Raw genomic sequence first — 13,110 nt, forward strand, 5'->3', positions numbered from 1 at the left:
CTGGTGATATGGTTTGGGCCTGTATCCCTGCCCAAATCTCATGTCAAATTGTAATCCCCAGCATTGGAGGTGGGGCCTGGTGGGAGGTGACTGGATCTTGGGGGTGGATTTCCCCCTCAGTGTTGCTCTTGTAACAGTGAGTGTGTGCCGTGAGATTTGGTTGTTTAAAAGTGTGTAACACCTCTCCCCTCACTCTCTTCCTCCTGTATGGGCCATGTAAGATGAGCTTGCTCTCCTGTCGCCTTCTGCCATGATTGAAAGTTTCCTGAGGCTGCCGGGTGTGGTGTTTCACCCCTGTAATCCCAGCACTTTGGGAGGCTGAGGCAGGCAGATGACTTGAGGTCACAAGTTTGAGACCAGCCTGGCCAACATGATGAAGCTCCGTCTCTACTAAAAATACAAAAATTAGCCGGGCATTGTGGTGGGTGCCTGTCATCCCAGCTACTCAGGAGGCTGAGGCAGGAGAATCACTTGAACCCGGGAAGCAGAGGTTGCAGTGAGCCGAGATCAGGCCACTGCACTCCAGCCTGGGCGACAGAGCCTAGCTCAAAACAAAAAAAAAAAAAAAAAAAAAGTTTTCCTGAGTTCTCCCCAGCCATGCTTCCTGTACATCCTGCAGAACCATGAGCCAATCAAATCTCTTTTCTTTATAAATTACCCAGTCTCGGGTATGTCTTTATAGCAATGCCAGAATGAACTAATACACCTGGCGAATGGAATTAAGTTACACGATGATGCAATTTAACTAAATTTCAAGGGATACGAACCCTGCTCACATTGATACGATTTCTGGTATCTACTACTTGTAGCATATGAAACAAATAATCATTGGCTTCTTACTCTGTGGTTAGCCTGGCATTAACCCAGGAGAGGAGGGTTCTTTGTCATTCTCCCTAACTATGAGATATTGCTTATGAGGTAGCATAAAGCAGAGATCTCCAGCTTAGTGATTTTTTTTATGACCCAAATCAGGATACCAACTTAAGCATTTCAGCTCTTATGCATTAACAATCTGTATTCTATGTACATTTTTCATAGTAACAGCAATTTTGTGGTGTTTCCTTATTCTTCCCTTTTGTATCACAGTGGAGCCCATTCACTCTGTTTTTCCACACAGTATATCTTTCTAGGTCACACCCTTGCTGCCTCAAGAATTTTAACAAGAGTTATAAATCTGCAGTGTCCAGATACCTGGAAATCTCTTGCTGACCTTATCCTTCATCATTTTAGCATGAGAATTTGGTATGACTTTGAGTAATGTTGTGATTTAAGAAAGCATATTACAGAAATAGGTGGTGCCCTTTGTAACACAACAAAAATGCCATGAGCCCACAGGTCCTCTGTCAATAGGCCATTCTGTTGGTTGTTGGTTTTCCAGCTGTAGAGATGTCATTAAGATGCTTCTACTTCCTTTTCTCAAATTAAACTGTTTTTCTATCTTATCTTTTTTTTTTTTTTTTTTTTTTGCAATAAGTAACCTGTGTTTTATTGGAAAGAACATAGGAAATCAATAAAATTTAGGTTTGAATTCAAGCTTTGGCACCTACCTGCTAAGTGATTCTCGGATTCCCAATCTGTAAAATGGATAAAACAAAGCCAGTTTCAAAAGATTGCTATACATTTTAAATTATGCAATACAAGTAAAATGCTAACATTTTATCTGCCATAGAGTTGGTCCTCATAAATATCTAGTGTCATTGCTATTGTAATTATTTTTTTTTTGACAGGGCCTCACTGTGTTGCCCAGGCTAGGGTGCAGTGGTGTGATCTTGGCTCACTGCAACTTCTGCCTCACGGGTTCAAGTGAGTTTCGTGCCACAGCCTCCCAAGTAGTTGGGGTTTCAGGCACCCACCACCACTGCTGGCTATTTTTTGTATTTTGAGTAAAGACAGGTTTTGCCATGTTGGCGAGGCTGATCTCAAACTTCTGGCCTCAAGTGCTCCACCCGCCTCAGCCTCCCAAATTGCTGGGATTACAGGCGTGAGCCACCACACTTGGCCTAATATTTTGAACACATTTTACTCTTGGCTATTGATGCACGGAGTGTTAGAGCTGAAATAGTTCTTAATTTTGGTCTCTCCTACTGTAGATCAGGAAGGCAAGAGATAGAGAGGACAAATGAGCTATTCAAAGAGCAGAGGGTCACAAATAGAACTAGCGTTCTCCTCAAGCCATCTTGATCCATCAGTTTCAATTCATGCTATAATCTATTGTATAGTATCTGCTCTATGTTGATATTTCCTTACTGGTAGCAGTATTCCTCTTCCCACCTCATAGTGTATACTTGTATATCATTTTGAAGTTGCAGCTAATAATCAAGGACTCTGTCTAATGTTTCATGTGAAACCCTTGGACTTCATGATATTTTGAATGTTAAATAATTTCATCATTTTAATAGTTTATCTCAGCAATGGCGTATGCAAAATTAGCTGGATGAAGAGTGTTATCTGACCAAGGCCAAAATCTGTAGCCCAGAGACATAGTACATTTTCCCTGGCCCAGTGGTGCTGGAATATATTTAAGCCTTTACAGCAAACTAAAACAATTCATTTAAGGAATTATGAGAGCCAAACTATTTTTTTAGAGCCTCTGACTGATACTTCATGTGCTAATAGAGAAAAATATTATGATGTCAATGTTTTTCTCTTTAAAATATAATGTAATGTGGCATGACTGATATAGCCAATCTTGAATATTAGAAATGATGCATCATCACCTAATTCATCAAAATCAATCTCGAAAAGGTCAGTCTTACTTGAAAAATAAGTTGATTGGCCTTAAATGAACATACTACGATCTCAAAATTAGAGAGAGACCTCATGGTTTTGCTAAGTTGTTTTTTCAAAGTACCCTCATCACAAAATTTAGGCATGCAAATGTCAACAATTTGTGTAGTTACGCATTTAAAAAGTCTTCTTCAATGGAAACACACAAAGTTTCATAACTTTCAGTGGCTGATGCCTACCGTAAATAACTACCACAGATTACATAGTAAACTCTTCATTACTCAGGGATTGACCAGTCAGTTGGTAAATTAACTGCGTTCTAGATTTTTTAATTCTCTCTCCTCATTGCATGTCTGCTGGTTACATCAGTACTCACTAGCAAGTCAAACATCATGAAGGAAAAAAGCTAAAGAATATCCCATTGATTTTAAAAATTATGGAGAAAACGTTTAAAAATTGGCTTTCATTTGAAACTTTGAGTCTCTGTACACATAATATATCAAAGCTCCTTCTCTTTACTATTTATACAAGGCACTGTCTTGCGGTCAGTTATATATTTTAACAGGTGAAGAGCAGAGGCAGTAATTTTTTAAAAAATTTTTCTAATTTTTAATTTGTATAGGTATATAGTAGGTATATATATTTATGGGGTACATGAGATATTTTGATACAGGCATGCAATGTGTAATCATCACATCAGGGTAAATGAGATAATCATTGCCTCAAGTATTTATCCTTTCTTTGTGTTACAGACATTCAATTATACTCTTTTAGTTATTTTTAAATGTATACTACATTTTTGTTGACTGTAATCACTCTGTGTATTAGGCCGTCCTCACACTGCTATAAACAAATACCTGAGACTGAGTAATTTATAAATAAAAGAGCTGTAATTGACTCACGCTTCTGCAGGCTGTACAGGAAGCATAGCATCTTCTGGGGAGGTCTCAGGAAACTTACAATCATTGTAGAAGGTGAAGGGGAAGTAAGATGCCTCACATGGCCAGAGAAGGAGAAACAGAGAGAGAAGGGAGAGGTGCCACACACTTTTAAAAGACCAGATCTTTTTTTTTAATTTTATTATTATTATACTTTAAGTTTTAGGGTACATGTGCACAATGTGCGGGTTTGTTACATATGTATACATGTGCCATGTTGGTGTGCTGCACCCACTAACTCGTCATTTAACATTAGGTATATCACCTAATGCTAACCAGATCTTACAAGAGCTCTATCATGAGAAAAGCACTGGAAGGATGGTGCTAAACAATTAGAAACTGCCCCCATGATTCAATCACCTCCCACCTGGTGCCCCACCTCCAGCATTGGGGATTACATTTCAACATGAGATTTTGGGGAGAACACAGATCCAAACCATATCAACCTGTTATACTATCAAATATTAGATCTTATTCATTCTATCTAATTATATTTAGGTACTCGTTAACCATTCTCAGTTTCCCCTGCATCTCTCACTACCACTACCCTTCCCAATGTCTGATAACTATCATTCTATTCTCTATCTCCATAGGTTCAATTGTTTTAATTTTTAGATCCCACAAATAAGTGACAGCATGCAGTTTGCCTTTCTATTCCCAGCTTATTTCACTCAACACAATGTCCTCCAGTTCCATCTATGTTGTTGCAAATGACAGGATCTCATTCTTTTTATAGATGAATAGTACTCCATTGTGTACTGTACCAGATTTTCTTTATCCATTCATCTGTTGATGGATACTTTGGTAGATCCCAAATCTTGGCTATTGTGAATAGTGCTGCAATAAATACAGAGTGCAGATATCTCTTCAGTATACTGATGTCCTTTCTTTTGGGTACATACCGAGCAATGGGATTGCTGGATTATATAGTAGTTCTATTTTTAGTTTCCTGAGGAATATTCTAGGATAAAAAGATTTTTGTTTTCTTTCAGCACTTTAAATATGACATGCCATTCTCTCCTGGACTGATATATTGATATATTGTATATAGTCTGCTGCCAGATATATTGGAATGCCTTTGTGTGTTATTTTTTCTCTTGCTACTTTTAAGGTTCTTTCTTTATTTCTGACCTTTGTGAGTTTGCTTATTAAATATCTTGAGGTAATCTTATTTGGGTTAAATATCAGCGTTCTATAAATTTCCTGTACTTGAATGTTGATATCTTTCTCTAACTTTGGAAAGTTCTATCTTATTATTTCTTTGAATAAACTTTCTACTTCTACCCAGCTGAATTCTGCCCTGTGTTGCTTTCCACTGTGACCAGGAAGCACTGAGTTCTAATGCAAAGTCCCGCAATCACTGCACTCACCCTCTCTCAAGTGCACTGATTTTCTTTCTGTGCCATGTGGTCCAGACCAGGGGACGGCGGAGGGATGGTATCAGTAATTCAAGACTGTCTTTCCTACCCTCTTCCATGCTTCTTTTCTTGATATTATGTTAAAACCAGGTATTGTAATCACTCATCCAAGTTTTGGTTCTTCTGAAGGTGCTTTCTTGTGTGAATAGTTGTTCACTTTGGTGTTGCTGTTGTGGAGTCGATCACTGGAGGGTTCTATTTGGCCATGTTGCTCTGCAGAGGCAGTAATTTTGATTTATCAATTCTATTAGTTTATAGGGGTTTTGTTTGATTCCTTTTACTAATCTTATGAGTAATTTTCTCAAACTTGTGTTTGCATAAGAGAGCCATTTTGTGTGTGCTGAAAGGCTGTGTGTGTGTGTCTGTGTGTGTGTGTGTGTGTGTGTGTGTTGCTTAATGTCAAATAGATTCAAACTATTGGTAATTTTGAATTGACCAGCTGTTTTCATGTAAAAGCAATGATAATCAACATTTTGGTGAGATAGGGAGGTAACTTAAGATTCTAGTAATTAACCAAGGTGTAAGCAACTTAAAATTATTTCCATCTGTAAAATTATCATTTCAACAAATTATATTGTTTTAGAGCAATGACCATGTCAGCAATGACAATGACAATGTAGCAATGACAAGGACAAAGTTAATTCTGGTTACAAAAGAAATAATTCTTGTTTAGTGAATCAAAGATCTCCACTCAAAATCACACCATTTGAATTCTTGCAGACTTTGAAGCTTAAATAGATTCTTAGCCTTCACAACCCCTGGGCATTTTTAATAAGAAGCATAGTGTGATTCTCTGCTTGGGTAAGGAAATAAAACAGAAATTTTTCTCGAAAGGGCCATAAGGTATATTACATCCAATTAGTCCTATCTTGACTCTGTGAAGTTGTCCCAAATAAGAGTGGGTGATAACTGTTTGTAATTTCCAACCACAGAATTCACCTTAGTTTGTACTTTGAATAGTTAATGCTTGGCAGTAGCAGCTTACTTTAATATAGGGGACATCTGGAAAATACCTTGTAAACGATGAAACCAAAACATTCAATTGTCCAAAAATATTATGGAGTGAAGAACACAACCACATATAATTAACTTAAATGTACAGAGGCATTATATTTGTTAAATAATTTATTAATAATATTATTTTTCAGTTCTTTTCATTCTTTGCAGGAAGTTATTATACATCAATTTTAATTATTTTAGTTTTATATTTTCTGTTGTCTCCTGTGATTATTTAAATCAGAATTACCATTTCCTAAACATAATTGCAGATTGAAACATGTGACTATATTTCTTATTTTAATTTTTTGTTTTATAAGCTTCATCTGGTACATATTAACCATGAACCTTACTCTCATTCAATTCAGCTCATGGTCAGATACCACAATTGAAGTAGTATCACTCCTATAATATTTTTACCATTTATTATTGAAAGCAGTTGAGAATTAATGATTTTAACAGAAGTGACGTTTGTATACAGTTCCATTAAACAATTAAGATAATACTTGATCCACAGAATACATTGGAAACTTTATAAATTAGAAATACGCTGAATAAATAGACAACTCATGCTGAGAATAAATGTTGAATAAATCAAACAAATGTTTCATCATACTTGGATCCTTCCAATCAGTTATCTAATTTCTACAAATGTATTTTACATTTATCCTTTTAAGTCCATTTATAATGTCATCGCTCTTTGCCAACAATACTAAATGTTAATTAAATTTTGAATATTTTAATCACTATTACATTGTGATTGAAAAAAACAGTGTATTCAATCTAATTTTAATGTGTCTCAACCTCAGAAAATATTTTTCTCTGGTCATATTTTCATGAGTAAAAATTATTTCCAATTATATTTTAACCGTGTCTTTTTCATTATTTTAAACAGTAAAATTTTAATATGTTTACTCCCTTCTTGTTTTATGAGTCTAAATGCTGTAAAATAACAATAGCCAATGTGAATTACGCAAGCATTTTAAAATGTAAAAAAAAGCACCTTGATATGAAAAGAAATGCTCAGTTGTACTCTCAAGACAAGAATTTAATAATAAATACTATGCTTAATGAAGACAGTTTCTAAAATTAAAAAACCCCAAAGTGATACATAACACAGATATTAGTAACAAAAAGAGAGGCTAGATTACTTCTTGCTGATTCTCACCTACACCAGCCTCCAATAAATTTCTTTCTTTTGAAACTGCTTTTCACCTGCTTATCTAAATGTGACTTCTATCTCTCTATCCCTCAGTCCTCCATTTGTCATGAATTGTTCTCTCACCTACTGTTCCCACAGTTCACTCTCTGCCCTGAAAATTGTAATAGTTTCTGTGTTCATAACTTAGTCTTACTCTCCAATGATTTCTCATATTTTATGATTACTGTTACATTAAATGTTTTATTTCCTTGACCACATTGTAAAGTCATGGAGGACTGGAAGCATGTTTTATGCTTTTGGATTGTCCATTATATTGGATACAGTGCCACGGTCAACAGCGTATTGTATATGTACATTTATATGCTCCCAACATATGTAACCCTCTTCCCATCATCAGCTTCTTTTCCCTTGTTTCAATGTTTCTCAACTGAGTAGCTCCAGCATGCCTACCAGCGGCCAAATCAAATTATCAGTATTTTCCCCAATCTAATAAATCAGTAAGTCTTATCTAGTATTCCTTCTCAATATATCTTGAATTTATCACTATCTCCCATTGACACTATCGTAGGTCAAGCCATTGTTAATCTATAACTTAGCTTGCACTGGCCTTCTAACTGGTGTAACTCTTCAAAATTGCTTCTTTCAAAACACTTGCTTATTCAGTAGCCAGAGTGATGTTTCTAAAATGTAGACATAAGCTAATTTCCTGCTTAAAATCACCAGTTGTTTTTTATTTGGCTCATGATAAAGTCCAAGCTAAGCAGGGTAGCATAAAAGAACTATTATGATCTGGGGTCTGTCCACTTTGCCACCTCATGCCAAATAGCTCCCTTCATCACTCTCAATGTCTTGTTATACCAAATTATATCAAATACCTTTCCATTTTACATAACAGTGCACTTTCTACATGTATCTCCTCTTCTTCATATATGTATTCTCCTACACTTTACCAGCATGTATTGATCTTAGATCTTTTTACAAAAGGTTTAGATGATTTCTCCTCCACTCTTGAAAGAAATATTTTATGTTCTCCAAATTTGCTTGCATAATTTCTTTAAATTTGCATGTATAATTCATTATGTTTCTCCCTATTTTAACAGTTGTCATTTACTGATGTTATAAGTATTCTTCTGTTTGCCCAGTCATCTGTAAGTAAATTACATGCAGAGGGCTATGTTTTCCCATAGTTTAATCCCAAATACTTAGTAAAAATATGTTTTTAAAATATTTTTAAATGAGTGATGGGTGGTTTGGTAGATGGATGGTTAAAAGAACAATTTTTTAATACATAATAAATATGAGTTGAACCATGAGAAATGAAATTTATAGAGCACTGGTACAATAATGTGTAATTTTCCTTTAAAATGTCTTTAAAATTCATTTAATAACTCATTAATTTTATTATGATACAAATAATAATAATGATGAAGTTGGGCAGCAAAGGTAATAAGGAGTTACATTATTGAGCACTTAATGTATGCTAGATAGTGTGCTATGCCCATTTATATTACTATTATACACGCCACTCTTAATTGCTTATTTTCTTACCAAGCTTGAGAAAAGAGAGTCAATCAGACTGTAGTGAGCCAGCTCCAGTTTCTGTTTTACTACCAAAACGATCTACTTTATAGCCTTTCATTTCTTGTCTTTATCTATGCAATGGAGACAATATTTGCTGACTTTATAACAATATAGTTATGGGAACTGAGGCAAGATGTTGAAAATTATTTTAAACTCAGACTACAGAAATTTGATATAAGCCATTCCTTTTCTAAATTGTAATTTATGTTCCTTCAATATCAGAAAATAATATTGCCTTCATTCATATCAAAAGTACTCCGTATCTGAATCTTTCATTCCAGCCGATCTGATATACTCACTATATTCCAAATAGTTCATGATGGCATGTGTGAAGAAAATAGTACATTGTGCATTTCTGCACTCTTCTTCCTAGTTTTAACCGACAATTTAGTTCTCATGGTTCCCTTTTCTGACACCTTTATCTTTATAGAGTTTTTTAAAGTGACATTTGAACATATGTAAGTTACCTCAAATCTTTTTTGGAATAGGCTAGGGAGAAAATGAGACAGAAATTGTGAAAATAAAATGCCAGTCATAAGATAACTGAAAATAAATGAAGATTGGCTCACCTATCAGGTTATAATAATTTTTTTAACCACAACATTACGATTCCGTAAGTCCGTAGGAAGAATTATTTCAAAAGAAATTTCCAAAAGGGCAAAAAGGGCAGAGTAGGAAACTTGAAAATTCATCTCCTCATAAAAACAACACAAAAGCTAGGCAAACAACAACAAAAATCTTGTCTAATTTGACTTTTCTAGAATTCTGAAAACTAACTAAGATGCTGGAGAAATTGGGAGACCATTTGTTGAAGAAATACCTACTGAATCTTGGTAAGAACAATGAGCTTTGAGGTATTTACACTTACCCTGGTTCCATCCCATACTCCTCATCTTAGTGATGGTAGTCATGAAAATGTACTGTATTTCTAGTACAGGTAATCAGTGCTGGAGGGAGCAAAACAGACCTCGCTCACAAATAATTGTTTTAGCCCACCTGGTAGCTCCCTGAAAGACCTGCTTAAAGTCAAGCTAAAAGTGCTTGCCTTAATGTCTCATAACATGGAACTCTCCCAGTGCTGAGGTTGCTACCCCAAGGATGTTTGTCAAAAATGTTCACAGGCAAATATAATAGTCACTGTTTCCTGGGGAAGTGAATAAAAGTTGGGGCAAAAAAAAATAGATTAATTAAAAGCTTAGGATGAAAGGCTGGAGATTGAAATGCTTTGGGGAATAAAGGCTTTGAAAATTTCACATATTCTGGGAATCCAGAGGGCCACACGTAGGTACAGGGCAGTGCAAATCCTCAGGAAAAACCGAAAAAGGCATTAATCTCTCGCCACTGACTAACCTTCGGTCTCTGCGCTGGCAAGAAGTGAATGCTAGGGCAGGGATGGTACACGGCCTCACTAGAGTTTAACACACAGAAGCCCATCTCAAAATTCTGGGAGATGTTTTTGGTTCCAGGCAAGTATAGAAATCTCTGTCCAATCACTAGCTGACTACTAACCTCACAGAAAAGAGATGTTATTGACCACACATGACAAAGAATACAGACTTTATGATATTAATTCAGAAAAGTCACTAAACAAACAATCACCATAACAAACAGAACATGAAACTCTGGAGAAGAGAAAAACCTGAATTCCATGCTTGCTACATTATAATTCTCAAAATGTCCAGTTTTCAACAACAAACACAACAGGCATTAGACGTGCCAACAAACAAGAAGGTATATTCCATGCACAGGAAAAGAAGCCATTCATATAAACTGCCTCTGATTAACCTGAGACATTGGTCTTAGCAGACAAATCCTTTAAATCAGCTATTTTAAGTGTGTTCAATGAACTAAAGAAAATCTTGCCCAAGGAACTGAAGAAAATAATGATAACAATGTATCACCAAATAGAGAGTATCAATAAAGAGAAAGAAATTTAAGAAATGAATCAAGTAGAAATTCTGAAGCTAAAAAGTACACATTTAAGGTACTAAAAAAAAAAACTATCAACCAAGAAAATAAGGCATTCCATAATAAATAAAAACAGTTTTCACTAATAGACTTGTCCTAAAAGAAATGCTAAAGGGAGTACTTCAGACTGAAACTAATGGACACTAGACAGCTACTTGAATCCACACAAAGAAATTAAGAACATGGTTAATAGTAAATAAATAGGCATTATAAAAGTATTATGTAAAAGTCATTATAAATGCATTTATTGTTTTAACTCCTCTATTTTGCTATCTGATTTAAAAGACAATAGCAAGAACAATAATTATAAATCTACGCTAGTGGACACACAATATAAAAAGACAATTTATGGCAGTAACATAAAGTTTCAGTTAGGATGAATAAGCTCTAGAGATGTAGCATACAGCACAGTGACTATAGTTAGGAATTATGTATTGTACACCTGAAAATTGGTAAGAGAGTAGATCTCAAATGTTCTCATAACCAAAAAAATGATAAGCATGTGAGGTAATGAAGATGTTAGCCTGATTTAACCATCTTACAATATGTACATATATCAGAACATCATGTTATACACCGTGTATGCATACATATACAATTTTTGTCAGTTATACTTGTAAAAGCTGAGAAAATAAAATTAAATAAAGAATTCGAGTTCAGAAATAAATCCTAGTACTTATGTTCAATTGATTTCAACCAAAGTGCTGAGACCACTCAGTAAAGAAAGAATAGTCTTTTCAACAAACAGTGCTGAGACAATATAATATCGAAAAGAAAAACAAGGAGTTTGGGCCGCTATCTCTCACTACATAGAAAAACTAACTCATAATGGATCAAACGCCTAAATGTAAGACCTAAAACTACAAAACTCTGAAAAGAAAATATACGTGCAAATTTCATATATTTGAATTAGGTAGTGGTTTCTTAAGTATGACTCCAAAAGCACAAGCAGCAAAAGAAAAAAATGGTAAACTAAATTTAATCAAAATTAAACTTTTTATATATTGAAATATATTATCAAGGAAGTAAAAAAAGACCCATGAAATGAGAAATAACGTTTGCAAATAATATATCTCATAAGGGTTTAATATCCAGAATATGTAAAGACCATAAAATTCAACACCGATAAGATAAACAACACAATTGAAAAATCAGCAAGTGATCTGGATAAGCGTTTCTCCAAAGAGGATATACAAATGAACAGCAAGCACTTGAAAAGATGCTCAGCATCATTAGTCATTAGAGAAATGCAAATCAAAACCACAGTGAGATACCACTTCATACCCACTAGAATGGCTAAGAAAAATGGAAAACAGGCCGGGCGTGGTGGCTCACACCTATAATCCTAGCACTTTGGGATGCCAAGGCAGGCAGATCACTTGAGGTCAGGAGTTCGAGACCAGCCTAGCCAAAATGGCGAAACCCCGTCTCTACTCAAAATACAAAAATTAGCCGGACGCGGTGGCAGGCACCTGTAATCCCAGCTACTCAGGAGGCTTAGGCAGGAGAATCACTTGAACCTGGGAGGCGGAGGTTGCAGTGGGCTGAGATCTTGCCTCTGCACTACAGCCTGGGTGACAGAGGGAGACTCCATCTCAAAAAAAAAAAAAAAAAGGAAAATATTAAGTGTTGGTGGGCACGTGAGAGAACTGCACCCCTGATCCATCATTATTGGGAGTATAAAATGATGCAGCCACTGTGGAAAACAATTAGGCAGTTCCAAAACCTAAACGTAAAGTTATTATGTGACACAGTAATACCACTCCCAGATAAAGCTCAGGCGACTGAAAATAGTTGTTCATAAGAAAACTCATGTTTAGAGCAGCATTATTCACAGTAGCCAAAAGGTGGAAATAATCCAAATGGCCATCAGCTGATGAATGGGTAAACAATATGTGGTATGTTCATGTAATGGAATATTATTCAGCCACAAAAAGCAACACAGTACTAGCACACGCTACAATATCCATGAACTCTGAAAAATTATCCTAAATGAAAGATGCCAGACACAAAGGTCACATATTGTACGATTCCATTATTGTGAAATGTCCAGAATAAATAGACAAATTCATGGAGACATAAAGCAGATTAGTGGTTGCAAGTGGCAGGAGCTGAGAGGAATTGGTAGTGACGGATTAATGGATTTTCTTCCAAGAGTGATGAAAATGTTCTACAATTAGATTGTTGTGATAATTAGACACCATTGTGATTTTACTAAAGACCACTGAATTTTACATTTTTAAATCGTTAAAATGGTAAATTTTATCCCTGTTTTTAAACATTTACAAAAAAATTTCCAATACAAGTTTTCAATATACAT

At 35.4% G+C, this 13,110-nt stretch overlaps 1 protein-coding gene across 10 annotated transcripts in view; it reads left to right on the top strand.

Annotated features, from left to right (window-relative positions):
• DPP10 (dipeptidyl peptidase like 10) overlaps positions 1–13,110 on the top strand; it is a 1,403,140-nt gene that overhangs the window by 597,924 nt on the left and 792,106 nt on the right. Inside the window, exon 2 of one of the 10 annotated variants that reach the window (NM_001399849.1) lies at positions 9,584–9,655. The exons of the other annotated variants lie outside the window; for them this stretch is intronic. The gene's annotated coding sequence lies outside the window, so the exon portion shown is untranslated. The remainder of the gene's footprint in view (positions 1–9,583; positions 9,656–13,110) is intronic. 10 annotated transcript variants of the gene reach the window in all.

This window comes from Homo sapiens, chromosome 2 (assembly GCF_000001405.40).
Source record: "Homo sapiens chromosome 2, GRCh38.p14 Primary Assembly".
Classification (NCBI taxonomy): domain Eukaryota; kingdom Metazoa; phylum Chordata; class Mammalia; order Primates; family Hominidae; genus Homo; species Homo sapiens.